Here is an 18,347-nt window from a genome sequence, read left to right as displayed (position 1 = left end):
GATGTAGTCCAGAGAAAAATACAGAAATAAATATTGTGTATTTCTCTAGGCATCCTTGGCCTAGTGGCTGGAAGTTAAGAGAAAACATCACTTGGGCCTGTGGAGCAGAGAGTTAAGTGAATTCTTTCTCTTTATTTGTAGCCATCAGCCAGCAAAGACCTCGTCAGTGTCTTTAACTGCGACCTTTCGTCCTCAGGAGGACTTTTGCTTCCTATCCTCAAAGAAATATAAGGTACTTGGTTTTACATGTTTGGTGGATGAGTCTGTTAAAAGTTAGAAAAAGTACTTTGCTACAAGTGTATGTGTTTGTCTGGATGAATGAATTGCTCCCGCAAAACTCTTAGATCGGCTGGGTGCAGTGGCTCAGCCCTGTAATCCTAGCATTTTGGGAGGCCGAGGCGAGTGGATTGCCTGAGCTCAGGAGTTCGAAACCAGCCTGGACAACACGGTGAAACCCTGTCTCTACCGAAAATACAAAAAAATTAGCCGGGCATGGCGGCATGAGCCTGTAGTCCCAGCTACTTGGGATGCTGAGACAGGAGAATTGCCTGTACCCGGGAGGCGGAGGTTGCAGCGAGCCGAGATCGCGCCACTGCACTCCTGCCCACTGCACTGCAGCCTGGGCGACAGAGTGAGACTCTGTCTCCAAAAAACAAACAACAACAACAAACACTCTTAGATCAAGGTAGAAAGGCAGTCATCTAATGGTTCTCTTTCCCAGAGATCACCTAACTGCTACAAGGCACCTCATTGTTTCCAGAGTTCAGCCACACACAGTCTCATTTGGGCAGATCCTCGCAACAGCCATGTGAAATGGATATTAACATCTCTATTTTATGGACAAGAAAACTAGAACTCACAGAGTAAAAGTGACTTGTCCGTTAGTTACAATTAACAAGTTTCTATGGGAGTCAAACAAACTGTGCCTCACTGTGTCACTTAACCTAGTTGGATCACAACTATTCCTAGATTGCTTAGCCTCCCCATGCTGGCTTCAGCTTTTGTGCAGGCTGGTCTGCTTGGACTGCATGGCACCTCAATTCCTCTTCCCTTGCATTGGGAAGAGGTTACTGGACTAACTCAGACTGCAGGGGACTTCCCTTTTCCCTTAGGCACAGTGCTTTGCTAGCTTTCAGTTGGCCTGGACAGACAGGCCCGCTGCCTCTCTGATTAATTACGGGAATGAGTTGGCAGATGTGGGAACCCTAAGCCAGCTCATCCTATCTGCTGTTAGAAAGAACCCTGGTAACAATACTTCATGGCATAAGGGGGCACATATGTGGATGTATCATGCTTTAAATGTTTCCTATTTCACATTTATCTATTTTTAAACTTTATTAGTTGTCAGAGATCCATCACCTACATCCAGAATATGTCAGAGTAAGTGAGCATTTTAAAGCTTCCATGAAAAATTTCAAGATTGAAAAGATAAAGAAGATCGAGAACTCAGAGCTCCTGGATAAATTTACATGGTTGGTGGCCACGTTATCGTGTTTCTTTACATAAAACCGGAAAGGATTAGTTAATATCCGTCCTTTGAGATTTATATTCACTGATTTATTTTAGTAGTTAACAGTTCCTTTAGGCGCTAGTCTTTTTTTTTTTTTTTCATTCTATCAACTCTGGCTTCTCTCTCTCAGCCTTACTGCTTTACAATTCAATGATTTCATGTGTCTATCTTTTAAAAGTTTTCATAAATTTATTATTGTACAGCTGCTGCCTTAAAGTTAGTAGCTCCGTTGTGAAAGCTGATGGAGTGAAATTTTTAGATGATTAGACTTTAGCTGGGATTAATGTTATCAACTGGAGTGGGAAGGGGATGTCTCCGTGTTAAGTCTCACATCTCTTATATTAGGAAGAAATCGCAGATGAAGGAAGAAGGAAAACTCCTATTTTATGCGACAAGCCGTGCCTATGTGGAATCTATCTGTTCGAATAATTTTGACAGTTTCCTACATGAAACTCATGAAAACAAATACGGAAAAGGTTAGTGCCGGGATAGAGAAGCGTAACTAGTAGAGTCATAACTCGGGCTTTATATGTGCTTCTATTAGGAGGTATATGTAATTATTTTGTATTAACCAGAGTGTCCAGGCTCTAGTGGTCCTGGAGAGACAGTAAGCTCACGGTAATATCAAATGCCCAAATGAGAGTGAATCAGTTGACTTGGAGCTTGATTGCTGGACCTTAGTCCCTGTCTTCTGTTTTCTTTCTGGGAGTGACCAAAGTCTTCATACGTGCTTGTAAACTACTCCATCTGTTGGTCTTGTTGTCTACCATTACTACTCACTTCTGGCTTGGCTCTTCCTGAACCCATGTCCATGCCTGCGAAGCTATATGAGGCTTCAGTTGTCACAGATTGGTTTTAATTAAAGAGCGGGAGAAGAGGCCTCTCCCCATCTCAGGCCACACTGGGTCACCTCGGTCTGAAGTGTCACAGGTCTGCCCACACACAAAATCTTTATAGCTCTTTCTTTTTGCTCCTAAACTCTTGCATCCAATTTTTTTTTTTTTTTGAGACAGGGTCTCACTTTGTCACCCAGTTTGGGTGACAATCTCGGCTCACTGCAGCCTCAACCTCCTGGGCTCAAGTGATCCTACAACTTCAGCCCCTCAAGTAACTGGGACAACAGGTGTGTGCCACCACATCCAGCTAATTTTTTTTTGTTGTATTTTTTATAGAGACAGGGTTTCGCCATGTTGCCAAGGCTGGTCTCAACTCCTGAGCTCAAATAATCCGCCTACCTTGGCCTGCCAAAGTGCTGGGATTTCAGGCATGAGCCACTGCTCCTGGATGCATGCAACTCTTTTTTTTTTTTTTTTTTTTTTTGGAGACAGAGTTTCGCTTTTATTGCCCAGGCTGGAGTGCAATGGCTCGATCTCGGTTCACTGCAACCTTCACCTCCTTGGTTCAAGTGATTCTCCTGCCTCAGCCTCTCAAGTAGCTGGGATTACAGGCATGTGCCACCACGCCCAGCTAATTTTGTATTTTCAGTAGAGACTGGGTTTCTCCATGTTGGTCAGGCTGGTCTAGAACTCCTGACCTCAGGGGATCTGCCTGCCTTGGCCTCCCAAAGTGCTGGGATTACAGGTGTGAGCCACTGCGCCTGGCCTGCATGCAACTCTTAAAAACAAACAAACCAGAGGGGAGGGGGGTGGGGGGAGGGATAGCATTAGGAGATATACCTAATGCTACGTGACGAGTTAATGGGTGCAGCACACCAACATGGCGCAGGTACACATATGTAACAAACCTGCACGTTGTGCACATGTACCCTAAAACTTAAAGTAAAATAACAATAAAATGAAAAAAAAAGAAAAAAAGAGAAATATTTATGAATGTAAATGTTTATTGTCCATTTTTAACTAATAAGCAAGCTTACTAAAAACTGCACTTCACACTTAGCTTAATGTTTGAGGGAATTAACTTCATAAATAAAAACTAGAAAATTAAAAAAACAAAAAAAAAACTAAGAATCAGTCATCTTTAGGAAATAAGTAATAGTTTATCACAGATTCAAAGTGAGTTCAACTCATACAACTAGGATTAAATTCAATTCTTGCCCCAAAAGGCAAGAAGTCAATCAGCCAGTCAGCAAATATTTTTGAGTGTCTTCTGTACACTAGATGGTGGGTACACAGTGGTGAACAAGTTAGACATGGCCCCAAACACATTTTGCATAATTATCTTACATAATTAATTAAATGACTGTGGCCAGGCATGGTAGCTTAGACCTGTAATTCCTGTACTTTGGGAGGCTGAGGTGGGAGGATCACTTGAGCCCAGGAGTTGGAGACCAGCTTGGGCAACATGGCGAGACCTTATCTAATTTTTTGTTTTAATTACAAACAAATTTTTTTAATTACCTGGGCATGATGGCACATGCCTGTAGTCCCATCTACTCAGCAGGGTGAGGTGGGAGAATTGCTTGAGCCCAGAAGTTTGAGGCTGCAGTGAGCTGTGATTGTGCCACTGTACTCTAGCCTGGGCGACAGAGCAACATTTTGTCTCAAAAAAAAAAAAAAAAAAATTAAATGATTGCAAATGTTGGGCTGCTATAGAGAAAAATAACAGATCCAGGTCAGGCGCGGCAGCTTCGCCTGTAATCCCAGCACTTTGGGAGACCGAGACAGGCAGATCACTTGAGGTCAGGAGTTCAAGACCAGCCTGGTCAACATGGTGAAACCCCGTTTCTACTAAAAATACAAAAATTAGCTGGGTGCAGTGGCCCATGCCTGTAATCCCAGCTACTTGGGAGGCTGAGGCAGGATAATCGCTTGAACCCGGGAGGCAGAGGTTGCGGTGAGCTGAGATCATGCCATTGCACACCAGCCGAGACTCCGTCTCAAAAAAAAAAAAAAGAAAAAAGAAAAAAAGGAACAGGTCCTGTGGACAACTAACCCAGCTAGAGAGGTGTTCCCAAGGATAGAGATAGAGTAGGATTCCCCTGCCTTGTAGAGTCACCACATGGCGGAGAAGGGAGAAATGGAACAAGGTATGACCATAAAGAGCTAAACTTGACTGTAAGCGCATGGGAAACTAATGAAAGGTTTTAAGCTGGGGAATGAATTTATTGATGAGATTTCATAAGTTTATTAAGTTTAAATGTATCAGTGAAACTTACCTAGAAGTGTTTGGAGGAAATGGGAAATGTAGTAACCATCTTAAGTGACATATGATAGGTGAAATTAAAACCCATCAGTTTCTTACAGGTCTATCCTATGTTAGAATTCAAACAAATATTTATCCTAAAAAATGAAATGTTAGGCTAGGCACTGTGGCTCATTCCTGTAATCCCAGCACTTTGGGAGGCCGAGGTGAGTGAATCACCTGAGGTCAGGAGTTTGAGACCAGCCTGACCAACATGGTGAAACCCCCCCATCTCTAATAAAAATACAAAGTTAGCTGGGCGTGGTGGCACATGCCTGTAGTCCTAGCTACTCGAGAGGCTGAGGCATGAGAGTTGATTGATCACAAGAAGGGGAGGCTGCAGTGAGCTGAGATCCTGCCACTGCACTCCAGCCTCAGTGACAGAGGAAAACTCTGTCTCAAAAAAGAAAAAAATAAAGCACTCAGAAATGTAGGAATAGAAATGAACTTTCTTAACACAATAAAGGGAATTTTAAAAAAAGAAAATATAGATTCCAGATTATATAAGTGTGATATAAAAAAACTGATGCAACAAAAACAAAAATGGACAAATGAGATAGCATCAAACTAAAAAGCTTCTCCACAGTAAAGGAAACAATTAACAAAGTGAACAGACAAACCCACAGAGTGGGAGAAAATATTTGCAAGCCATACATCTGATATGGGATTAATATCCAAAATATGTAAGGAACTTAAACAATTCAACAGCAAGAGAACAAATAACTCAATTTTAAAATGTGCAAGCTGTTCCCATAAGTGGCCTGCGGTGATCTGTGAAAATGGTTCACTATTCACTTGACCCAGAAAACTCCATGAAATCATGCAAATAAAGAGGTTCAAATCTTCATGTTCACTCTAAGGACACCCATGAAACTGCCCAGGCCATCAAGAGTACGCCTATATGAAAAGCCAGCAAATGTCTGAAAGATGTCACTGTATGGAAACAATGTGTACCATTCCAACGTTACGAGGGTGGAGTTGGTAGGAGTGCCCAGACCAAACAGTGGGGCTGGGCACGCAGTTTGTGACCCCAAAAGAATTGAATTCTTGCTGTACACACTTAAAAATGCAGAGAGTAATGCTGAACGTAAGGGTTGAGCTGTAGATTCTCTGGTCGTCGAGGATATTCAGGCGCACAAAGCACCCAAGATGTGCCACCAGACTTCCAGAGCTCATGGTTGGATTAACTCATGCCTAAGCTCCCCCTGCCACATAGAGACAATCTTCCTGAAGAAGCACACCGTGTTCCTAAACCAGAAGAGGAGGTGCACAGAAGAAAAAGCTATCCTAGAAGATACTGAAGAAGCAAAAACTTACAGCACGGGAATAAATTCAGCGTAAAATACATGCAAATAAAAGTTTCAAAAATGGGCAAAAGACTTGAATAGACATTTCTCAAAAGAAGAAATACAAATGGCCAATGAGTTCATGAAAAAATGCTCAACATCGCTAATCATCAAGCAAACGCAAATTAAAACCACAATGAGCTGTTGCCTCGCACCGATTAGAATGGGAGGCTGAGGTGGGAAGATTGCTTGAGCCCAGGATATCAAGGCTGCAGTGAGCCAAGATTGCACCACTGCACCCCAGCCTGGGTGACAGAGACCCTGTCTCAAAAACAGCAGCAACAACAACAACAACGAAAAAAAAAAAAAAAAAAGGAGAGAGAGAGAGTTGGATGTACTGACATAGCAAGATTTCTAGGACTAAAGTGGAAAAAAAAGTTGTAGAACAGTTCATATATTATGATCCTATTTATGAACAAGTAAACCACCATAAACCACCATATGCACATATATGTATGTGAATGCATAGAAACAGGTGTGAAAGAATTCCCGCCAGCCATAAACTGTTTTGGGAAGGGGAGTGGGATTGGACGTCGTAGGTCAGTATAGGTAGACTTCCATATTTTACTTTAAATATAGTAGAACATCATTTGCACAGAATATCTAGTATCTGACCTATTCAGGATAAGCAATGTTTCTGGAATTCAAACATCTAACTATAAAATGATAAAAAGAACAAAAACAAAGTAGATGGGAAGTATATTAAACATTTGTTACCACAAGTAAAACAATTCATTTTACTTATTGATTCTTGCATGGAAATAGGAGTTGCAATATCTACTCATGGTCTTTAAAACGACAGAGTAGCTTTCTTAGAAAATATTATTAGTATTTTTTGATACAGAATCTCACTCTGTTGCCCAGGCTGGAGTGCAGTGGTATGATCCTAGCTTACTGCAGCCTCAACTTCCTGGGCTCAATCAATCCTGCCTCAGCTTCCTGAGTAGCTGAGATTACAAGTGCACGCCACCATGCCCGGCTAATTTTTAAATTTTTTGTAGAGATGGAGTCTCCCCATGTTGCCCAGGCTGGTCTCAAATTCCTGGGCTCATGTGATCCACCCGCCTCAACCTCCCATAATGCTGGGATTACAGACATGAGCCACTGCACCTGCCCAGAGTAGCACTTGACAATGATAAAAATAAAAATTTTAACTTGGCAGGAAATTGTTGGTCTGCTGTGTATGGAAGCAGCAATCGTTATCTGAGGTTGTTTTAGAGTTGAGGACGAAGCATCAACTGACTCATCAGTTCCAAGTTTGCTCATTCAGCTCACACTGGGTGAATTGCATGAATTGGGCCACTGTGACATTGTCATTTGGTCATTGCACCCAATGGCTCACACTATCAGCATGAGCTCTGCACTGTAGCAAATATTCCTCAGTCATTTCTATAGGGTTATATACTGTATTTAAGTTCGCCTGCATCATTAACATGTTTTTAAGTGCAAAGGAAAGTTTATAAATATCAGTAAGGTATTATTGACATATGCTTAGTCCACACCCATCTGACTGTATATAACAAATCTTATAAACTGTATACCTTCTTTTATAATATTTCTTAACTTTTCTTTCTGATTCTTTCTAGGAATTTACTTTGCAAAAGATGCCATCTATTCCCACAAAAATTGCCCGTATGATGCCAAAAACGTCGTTATGTTTGTAGCCCAAGTTCTGGTTGGAAAGTTTACTGAAGGAAATATAACGTACACGAGCCCTCCTCCACAGTTCGACAGCTGTGTGGATACCAGATCGAATCCCTCCGTTTTTGTCATCTTTCAGAAAGATCAGGTTTACCCACAATATGTGATTGAATATACTGAAGACAAAGCCTGCGTGATTAGTTAGAACCGATGAATACAGCGTCAGAAGGATGCCATAACCATTCTGTTCCTTTACAGAACTAAATTGCCGCAGACAGGAGTTAAAGTTTTATATTTTCCTGCTCAGTTATCTAATGTCTTAGATCAGTGGTCCCCAAATTTTGCTACATATTAGAATCATCTGGGAGGTTTTAAACAAATTCTGATGCCCAGGTTGCACCCCATGCCAATGAAATCATTTCTGGGCGTCAGCGCCAGGCAGTTGTATTTTTTTTTTTTTTTTTTTTTTTGAGACTGAATCTCACTCCATCGTCCAGGCTGGAGTGCAGTGGCGCGATCTCGGCTCACTGCAACCTCTGCCTCCCGGGTTCAAGCAATTCTCCTGCCTCAGCCTCCCGAGTAGCTGGAACTACAGGCACACACTGCCGCGCCCAGCTAATTTTTTGTATTTTTTAGTAGAGACAGGGTTTCACTGTGTTGCCCAGGCTGGTCTCAAACTCCTGAGCTCAGGCAATCTGCCCGCCTTGGCCTCCCAAAGTGCTAGGATTACAGGTATGAGCCACCATGCCCGGCTGGCAGTTGTATTTTTTAAAGCCCTTCTGATGATTCCAATGTGTTGGAAAGTTTACCTTGTCTCAGATGTAACTGGTAAAGGCTGATTTCTAAATTTTCTGTAATTGCAGCAACCTTTCTCTCCTGTCTACCCTTTTAGTTTACTGTATGCCATGGTTTTGTTTTGGTTACATTGAAAGAAAGTTAATTTGGAAAATTTGGGAGAAATCTAATCATGCCTATTAAGGATGTAAGACATTACAGCCTTAGAAGAAAGATTGTGAAAAGCTGGGGAGAAAATGCTTAAGGACATGCTAGGGGAAAAAAAAGTAAAATTGAAGTGCTATTGCAGACATGGCTGCAGTACTGTACCTTATCATTCTGATGAAACTGATTTGGAGCACCCTTTTCTTTATCGCTACATTTATTTAGGGGACAAACTCCATCCAGGTTGACTCTCTCTGGAATGCGGTAATAAGAGCTGGCAAGTAAGGCTCAGAGAGAAGCAACCAACTGGAGTTAATTGCCCATTTGGGCTCTTTGTATAATTATGGCAAAGTAGACATTTATGTTCTAATTAATATGATTACAGAGAAGGCTTTTTCTCAGGTCAGGCTTTTCATGAAAGTATTTTGAGAACAATGAATTGCAATAACCAGCTTCACACAAGCATAACTGATAAACGCGAGTGCTATTGTAGTCTTGGCAAGTGAGCCAAGAACCTAGGAGCAGGGCCATTCCTACTGAAGGACGGGCCCCCTACGGAGATGAAATTTGTTTCCTGGTGAGCACAGAATCAGAACAAAGAACAATATCCCAAAGAGGCCCTGTGTCTACCAGGAGCTTCTTTTTCCAAATGTAATGGATTATGTGGAATTGTAGTGCCATCGGTTTTTACTTAGAGCCCTTGACGTGCTTGGACCAATATTTCCTTCCTTCTTATGAACCAGGTTTTTCCTTCTGATTTTCCCTTTTCAACATTCCTTACCAGTCACCAAAGTTTCCTGTTATAATTTCTTTTAGCAGACAAGTTATAAGTCAGATTTAATTAGCATCAGAGTTGATTTTATATTAGTCAGATTTTGGATCATCACAGAGATCTCCACAACTCCTTGGCTTAAACAGCTCCACCGGTAAAAAAAAAAAAAAAAAAAAAAAAAAAAAATAGTTTTTTTAGAGTAGAGTTATTTTCTGGGAGAGTTACTACAAATGCTTATTCTCATTGACTTATTTCTTTCATGGTAACTTTCGTTTTGGAGTGTTCATTTTCTGAACTTGACCCTCACATTGTAGGGGTGCAGTTTGTCCAACTCTTTCCAACAGCCCATTAGACACCACTAGCTGGATATTTCACAGGCATCTTTGATTCAATATGTCCAAAGTGGAACTCTCCATCTACCTCCCTCACATGAACCTGTTCCTCTCTCAGGATCTGTATGTAAGTGAAAAGCATCACCATCTACCCATTGGCTCAAGCAGAAATCTGGAAGTCATCTTTGACTCCTTCCTCTCCCTCCTGATAAACATCTAAGCAGTTTCTAAGTCTAGTTTTACCTCTTAAATATCTCTGTTCCCTTCTAAGTTGTTTGCTGTGTTTTCTTCAGAGCAAGAAGGTTATATTTTTTAAAATTTACTTAGTAATGCACATTCAAAACACACATCAAGTCTTCAGGATAAAGTTCAAAACCGCTGTCATGGCCCCATGTGATCTCTCCCTCCCCTACCCCTCTATCATTTAGTTTCTTCTGCGCAAGCCACTCTGGCTTCCTTTCAGTTTTGTGGTTCCCATTTTTAGCTAGTTCAGTGGTTTTCAATGGGCATTTCTGCCTTTTTTTTTCTAAACGACAAATAGAAATACATCTTCTTTATTATCCTCCAAATCCAATTCAGAGGTAATATGCTCCACCTACACACAATTTTAGAAATAAATTAAAAATTAAATAAAACTAATATGAACATAAAGAGGAAATAAAAGGTACCTAACTTGGGCACAGCTGTAACTGAAGACCTAATGAAGTAGTCAGATGCTTACAACTATTTATAATGCATCAATTTGAACTTAGAAGGTAGGAGATCAGATCATATGTGGGAAAATGTAAAAGCAGGGATATCAGTGGGCATTAGAATAAAAACTAGGGATACAATAACTTCTTTGCATATGACAATACTTATTTGTATATAAGAGAAAGAACGAAATAACCTTTATTGAAATAAAGATACTATGCAAGAAAATGTACAGTTGTCGAAGTGGAGAAAATGAGGATATATTCTTGCAGACGAGCTATAGGTCATACATGAATGTCTAGTGAGACATTCAAAATTCGTATAGGGTGCAGAGTAATTTCTTATTGTGAGGAACTGTCCAATGTATTGCAAGATGTTCTGCATACTTGGCTCTCACATACTAAATGCTAGTAGCGCCCCCACCCCCACGCCCAGTCACGGTGACAACCACAAACCCTATCAGATCTATTCACCTTTTTCAGAGCAGATATTTTGTAACATTCTCTTTGCTGACCTGAAATGACTCATAGATAATACAATCTACTTACACACATGAATTTCTTAAAAAAATCAATTTAATGCCCTAACTCTCTTATTAAGGAGAAATAGAAAAGAAGAAATTTATAATGAAAAGAAGATGAATTTCATTATGTAAACGCTCAGGCATGACTACGCTGTTTGAAACAGACAGATGTTTACTCTTCCTTGTAATGAGTAGGTTTGGATTTAAGAGCCGATTAGAGGCTACTTCCTGTAAACAAGTACAGGAAAATGAAACTAGACGGGTGGGGGACACTAGAATGAAAACCAGTGTTAGGGTAAAGACAAAACAGACTATGTACATAATCTGTATATGGGAAAAGAAAGAGCGAAATTACCTTACTTAAGGATAATAGGACAAGACAAATTACAGATTGTCTCAGAGAAAACAAATGAGTTACTCTCTCGGACAAGCTGTAGGTCCTACCTAAATGTCCAGCAGGACATTAGACAGTCGTACAGGGTACAGAATAATTCTTCGTTGTGTGGCACTAACCCACACACTGCAGGACATCGTTCTCCCTGGCTGCATCCACTCAGTGCTGGGAGTAGTCCCCAGTTATTATGAAACCACCAATAACCCACTGACCACAGTGAGAACCACTGATTTTTTCCACTGACCTACTGAATATCTAGCATCCTTAGATTGGCTCAACTGTTACTTTCCTAAGGAGTCCTTCTACAGAATAGGTCAGATCTTGGCCTCCCAAACCCCTTATTTTTAAAATACTTTGCGCCTTGCTTTGATAATTTGTATTATGTATCCAAACTGAAATTATCTGCTTTCTGCATTAGAATGTAAGCCCCCTGAGGGTTGAGTCAGTCTGTCTTGTTTGCTGTGCCACGCCTGATGCCCAGCCCAGCAGCATGCTTTGTACACTGATATATTGGGTAAATTTTGTTGAATAAATTAAGCTCAACTATTTGTATTTCAATAGTTGAGTTGTATTGCTTCCTGTTCTTCAAGCTTAATTTGAACTGTCTAATAAAAAGAAGTAATTAATTTGGTTCTACTGCCTTTATTTGATCTATTTCTAGGTATCTCCCAAAACATCATCAACTGCAGACACCAGTTATTCAATGGGAGAGAGATGATGTGTTTTGCCCCTTCCAGCTTTATCATTCCAGGGTTCGATGACCAAGTCACCTGGGCAAGGCACAGTGGTGGTGATGGCCCCCACATCTTTTGTCTGGGGATTTAGAGAGGGAAGGGTTGAAAGCTGCTAACACACCTTTCTTCCTTTAGTCTCGGGGGTGTGAACAGGGCCAGGCTGAGACACAAAAGTTAAAAATATAAATGGTGATAAGCAGAATTACCCTATCAGCCATTCCTTCTCCAAAAGCCCTTCTCTACTCATTATTTTCTTCTCTTTTTTTTTTTTTTTTTTTTGAGATGGAGTCTCACTCTGTCACCCAGGCTGGAGTGCAGTGGCGCAATCTCAGCTCGATGCAACCTCTGCCTCCTGAGTTCAAGCAATTCTCCTGCCTCAGCCTCCTGAGTAGCTGGGATTATAGGCGCCCGCCACCATACCCGGCTAGTTTTTGTATTTTTAGTATAGGTGGGGTTTCACCATGTTGGCCAGGCTGGTCTTGAATTCCTGACCTAAGGTGATACACCTGCCTTGGCCTCCCAAAGTGCTGGGATTACAGGTGTGAGCATCTCACCCGGCCTCATTATCTTTTTTAATCACAAAGCTTTCAGTGGAGAGGGAGCAGGGAGGAGGGAAATGGAGAGGGAGAGCAAGTTCTATGGCAGCAGAGATTTGATAAAGTGAAGGTAAAACTACCATTTGACTTGGACCTCAATATAAATAAAGCAAGGTGTAGCAAAGTCATTGCTGTCAAAGCACCTGGATTGAAACACACAAAAATGCTATCAAACCAAGCATGAGCAGATCCTGGAGTTTTTTTATTTATTTTTTTTATGAGTTTGTTTACGTTGTCATAGTGCGCTAGTTTCCGGTGGACTCCTCAGTCCAGCATTTGGTAGAAATGAAGCTATGGCCGGGTGCAGTGGCTCACGCCTGTAATCCCAGCACTTTGGGAGGCTGAGGCGGGTGGATCACGAGGTCAAGAGATCGAGACCATCCTGGCCAACATGGTGAAACCCCGTCTCTACTAAAAAGACAAAAATTAGCTGGGCATGGTGGTACACACCTGTAGTCCCAGGTACTTGGGAGGCTGAGGCAGGAGAATCGCTTGAACCGGGTAGGTGGAGGCTGCAGTGAGTCAAGACTGCGCCACTGCACTCCAGCCTGGGTGACAGAGCAAGACTCTGTCTCAAAAAGAAAAAAAAAAAGAAAAAAGAAATGAAGCTAAATAACAACCACTTTCCACTCATACCCTCATACCTTAGCTACTATAAAGAGAACTGCCATGAAACGCAATACTTAGTTGAGTGCTAAGCATGTGTGTCTGGGGCCATGGGGCCATGTTCTGAGACATGTCTTGGAAAGAGTTCAGGGGATAACAGGCAGGTTTCATTTAGAAGGTTAAGACCAGAGCGGATGAATTTATAACAGTGATATCAGTGCATGTCCCCAGAGTGACTTGCTCCAAAGCTCGTGCTACAGATGTGTGCCTGAGTGACCATAAGCTTGAGAATGAGCTTCAGAATCAGAGTGGCAGGAGACATCAGAACGTTCCAGGAAGTGCTTAAGCCTTAAAAGCTCCAATCCTAAAATACCACCCCCAACCTCAACCTCCTGTTTTCTCTTTTTCATTCCCTTGTGAACCTGCCCGGCATCTAATGTCACCCTCTTCTTCCTGAAAAATCCACATGCTTCAATAAACAGTCTGCTCTGGGATCTTTCCTTTTTACCCCTCTATGCACTTCCCCATGAATGGTCTTATTTATTCCCAGATCCAAGTGTCACACACTCTGAATCCAGGATCTATACCTCTGCTGAGGAGTCAGATAAGCTGTGCAGTGTCACGGCTACTGAGTAAGAGAACCAAGATTCTAAACCCGGAAGTTCAGGTGCAGAGTCTGCAGGTTAAGTGTGTATCTGTAGGAACAGTCTCTACCTCTTCCCTCTCACCTCCCCACCCTTCCCCCATTAACTCCTGCATTTGCTCTTGGAGTCTTCTCCACACTCTGCCTCATAGTCTTCCTCTCCACTCAAAATCCTCCCTTTTCCTTCAGTGTTCACTGTGGTCAACCCATGCAACACCCCTAGCCTTAGATGTCATTAACACCTGTCTTCACTGTCCTCACTATTCGGGGTACCAATATCCATCACCCCACTGTCATCAGTCAGAATTACTCTAGAACTGCTTTTTTTTTTTTTGAGATGGAGTCTCGCTCTGCCGCCCAGGCTGGAGAGCAATGGCGTGATCTCAGCTCACTGCAACCTCTGCCTCCAGGGTTCGAGCGATTCTCCTGCCTCAGCCACCCAAGTAGCTGAGATTACAGGCGCCTGCCACCACGCTCGGCTAATTTTTAGTAGAGATTGGGTTTCGACATGTTGGCCAGGCTGGTCTTGAATTCCTGACCTCAACTGATCCTCCTGCCTCAGCCTCCCAAAGTGCTGGGATTACAGGCACGAATCACTGCAAATGGCCTAGAACTGCTGTTTCTGAAATCCCAAACCTCTATATTCTACCTCTGACCCCAGCCTGCTTTTGAGCTCTCTGGCCCTCCTACATTTCGTACGTCGTCTTTCTCTGCTCACATATAGCCCCTTGCTGTCTTCACTCCTCCCTTACCTAGTCTCCAGCCCATTGTTCAGCCCCTGACCACTCTTTCTTTTCTTCTTTTTTTTTTTTTTGAAACGGCGCCTCACTCTGTCTCCTAGGCTGGAGTGCAGTGGTGTGATCTCAACTCACTGCAGCCTCCGCTTCCCAGGTTCAAGTGATTCTCCCACCTGAGCCTCCTGAGTAGCTGAGATTACAGGTACCCACTGCCATCCTGGCTAATTTTTAGTAGAGATGGGGTTTCAATATGTTGGCCAGGCTGGTCTCGAACTCCTGACCTCAAGTGATCCTCCTGCCTCGGCCTTCCAAAGTGCTAGGATTACAGGCGTGTGCCACCACACCTGGCTAATTTTTGTAATTTTGGGTAGAGACAGGGTTTCACCACTTTGCTAAGGCTGGTTTTGAATCCCCGACCTCAGGTGATCCACCTGCCTCAGCCTCCCAAAGTGGCGGGATTACAGGCATGAGCCACTGCACCCAGCCCCCTGATCACTCTTTCAATTCATACCTCAATCATCTAGAACCTTTGACCTTAAGTCTCACCCACTGGCAAAACCTAAAAGTGAATCAATCAAATTCTGTTCTTACACCTTGAGAGCTTTTAGGAGAATTGCAGCACTGTTTGGATCAATGCCACTACGAATTTGTGGCCTTGGTAAGGCCCTGCCCATGCCCACTGGTCCTACCTGTCAGCCTTCTCCCCTCTCCACAAGTCAGCTTTGTCAAGCCTTTATGGTCTCCTGAAGTGACTCTCCACCATCCATTCTTGGTTTTGCCTTAAACTTAAAAAAACAAAACAAAACAAAGCCTACAAACTTGTCTTTAGATGCTCTAATCCTTGTCTCCTTTCCTGTTGTGTGAATGGAAGAAGCATCTCCCCTCCTGTCGGAGGTTAGTTCCTCTGACGTCTCCCATTCTATCTCACTGCCTATGGACATCCCCCGCTGATTACAATTCCCCTTTCCTTTATATTCTTTCTTTTTTTCTTCTCTCTCTCCTTCCTTTTCTTTCCTTTCCCTTCCTTCCTACCTTTTTCTGTCGCCCAGGCTGGAGTGCAGTAGCACGATCTTGGCTCACTGCAGCCTCTGACCTCTTAGACTCAAGCAATCCTCCCACCTCAGCCTCCTGAGTAGCTGAGACTACAGGCACATGCCACCATGCCTAGCTAATTTTTGCATTTTTAGTAGAGACAGGGTTCTACCATGTTGCCCAGGCTGATCTCAAACTCCTGGACTCAAGTGATTCTCCTGCCTCAGCCTCCCAAAATGCTGGGACTGCAGGCATGAGTCACCGCACCTGGCCTCCTTTATTTTCAACTTTCCATTCTTACTAGCTCTTTCTTTTCTCTTTGTTTTGTTTTTGAGACGGAGTTTCACTCTGTTCTCCAGGCTGGAGTACAGTGGCACGATCTTGGCTCACTGCAAGCTCCGCCTCCTGGGTTCACTCCATTCTCCTGTCTCTGCCTCCCGGGTAGCTGGGACTACAGGCGCCCGCCACCACGCCTGGCTAATTTTTTGTACTTTTAGTAGAGATGGGGTTTCACCATGTTAGCCAGGATGGTCTCGAACTCCTGACCTCGTGGTCTGCCCGCCTCGGCCTCCCAAAGTGCTGGGATTACAGGCGTGAGCCACCGCGCCCGGTCTTACTGGCTCTTTCTACTCAGCATGTAACTATGCTTGTCTCTCCTATAATAAAATACCTTTCTCAGTCTTGTGTCTTCCTCTTATTATCATTACCTTACTTACTTTTAGAAGTAAAGTCCTCGGTTTTTCTATTCTTCTTTTTTTAACCTACAGAAATCTACCTTTTCTCATTATTCCTCTGAAATAAACCTGCCTAGGTTATCACTGTCTACAAGCTTTCCCTTGTAGGAAAGCTCCTCCCTGTAGTATCTCACCATGCTGATCACTTTCTCCTTGAAACTCTCTCCTCTGCGTGTCCATGAATGACTCTCATTTTTCTCTAACCTCTCCTTATCAGTTTATATGTTAGGCTATGTTCTCTCAGGAGCAATCTGACAAGGATTGAATGCACACAGTTTACTTGGGAGGTGATCCTAAGAAACACTGGCAGGGGAATGGGGAGGTAGGGCAAGGAAAGGAAGGAAGACTGTATGGGGAGTGCTAATGAGCAGGTGTGGCTGTGGGCAACTGGGGTTCAGTTCCATTGAGGAAACATTGGGAGACCATGGAATGTACACCTCCAAGTGGTTCCACACGAGGAATGAGTTGGGCTGTTTGATCCATTGTTGGGGAGGAAAAACTTTTCCTGCACTCTCTTATGTTCAGTTCTGAGGGGCTGCAAATTTAACTGACAAGAGAAAAAACATATATGCATATGGCACTGCACAAAAGAAGTGATGATGATTTATTTACCTAACTTAATAGGGGAGAGAGGGGGGCAAAAAGGCTCCTATGGGAAGAACAAAGGGGTTTCTAGGGAACAAACAGGAGATAAGGAAGTTTGTGTTCATAGGGAAGTTGTTTATGCAGGTGCACGTGGTTTTCTATTTCATGTCCATAAACCCCTGGAGAGGGGATGAATGGCAACCTCACTCCCAGAAGATTCTGCTTTTACTGAAATAAAGGAAGCTTCAAGAAGGCTTCTTTTTGCCTCTATTGAATCTTACATGTCTTTAGTTTAAAATAATCCTCATGCCAATTTTAGGGTTGAGAGTGCATCCTCAAACCACCAATTCCCCAACATCCCTGGATGAAGGCTCTTCCTGGAGGTGTTGGCTCCTTGGTAATTCCAGCCTGCCTTTCCTGCTGGCTGCTTCCTCCTTCTGTTGGAAAAAGCTTAGGCAGAGAGTTCAGGAACAAATGCTGAGTGCCAAGGGGACGTAGGCTACTGCCTATTTTTCTCTTCCCCCACTTGCTTATTTAATGTGGGTATTCGCCAAGCTTCTTTCCCCCCGTCCCCCACCTTTTCACACTCTTCATTTTTGCCAGGTGATCTTATCAACTCTCAGTTACCTAATGCTCTGATGTCACGCAAATCTACATCCCTTCCCTTCTCATGTCCCTCAAGGTCTAGACCTGTATACAGAATACACCTGCCTGTTGAGCGTCTTACCTTGGGTTGTCCACTGCAAACTCTCAACATAAATAACACTGGGGTTATAGTCCCTCAAATCCTGTTTATTTTCTGTTATTCCCCACCTCGTCTTGCTTTTCTAGAAATCCATTCTTCTCATTGCTGCCAGGGGTCTTTCTAAAACACCTATCCTACAATATGGCCAGGTACTATTTTAGGTGGTAGGGATACAGCAATGAACAAAACAAGGTTCCTGCTTTCATGAGCCTGAATTCTATAGCTAAATATATAAATACACAATAAAGAAGAAAAATATCAGTGGTAAGTTCCATGCAGACTGGGGAGCTACTTTAGATTTGAGAGGTCAGGAAAGGTTTTGCTGAAGAGAAGACATTAAAGCTCAGAGCTGAATGACACACCTTGAGTGGCACTCAGGAGACATCCACACTTCCCAGATGAAAATCCTTTAGTGACTTCCCAAAGTTCTCGGGATATAAGTCCAAATTTCACAGCATGGCAGAGAAGGTCTTCTGGCATCTGGCCAGTTGTCTTCCTCTCTAGCTTCTTTACATTACATGACATTAATGCATTTAATCCTCACGAGCACCTTGCAAAATAGCAGCTAGGCTGGCTGAGTTCTCTGATGGTCTGATTCATCTTTGTACTGTCACTGCGTTAGTAGTTGGCTCAACAAACGTTCA

General features: G+C 42.8%; 1 protein-coding gene, 1 non-coding gene and 1 pseudogene across 3 annotated transcripts in view; all 3 read left to right on the top strand.

Moving 5' to 3' along the window:
- ZC3HAV1 (zinc finger CCCH-type containing, antiviral 1) overlaps positions 1-11,922 on the top strand; it is a 66,206-nt gene extending 54,284 nt beyond the window's left edge. For both annotated transcript variants that reach the window (NM_020119.4, NM_001363491.2), the window contains exons 10-13: positions 142-232; positions 1,342-1,472; positions 1,856-1,986; positions 7,584-11,922. In NM_020119.4, the coding sequence (NP_064504.2) occupies positions 142-232; positions 1,342-1,472; positions 1,856-1,986; positions 7,584-7,843 (613 nt within the window). In that variant the 3' untranslated portion in view covers positions 7,844-11,922. The remainder of the gene's footprint in view (positions 1-141; positions 233-1,341; positions 1,473-1,855; positions 1,987-7,583) is intronic.
- Positions 5,431-5,981, top strand: RPL17P28 (ribosomal protein L17 pseudogene 28; annotated as a pseudogene).
- On the top strand, positions 11,280-11,337 carry MIR10399 (microRNA 10399). Its single transcript, NR_162108.1, has one exon. It is a non-coding gene; the product is annotated as a microRNA 10399 (primary transcript).

This window comes from Homo sapiens, chromosome 7 (assembly GCF_000001405.40).
Source record: "Homo sapiens chromosome 7, GRCh38.p14 Primary Assembly".
Taxonomy (NCBI): Eukaryota; Metazoa; Chordata; class Mammalia; order Primates; family Hominidae; genus Homo; species Homo sapiens.
The sequence above is the reverse complement of the archived record's forward strand: the minus strand, read 5'-3'. Positions and strand labels throughout refer to the sequence as shown.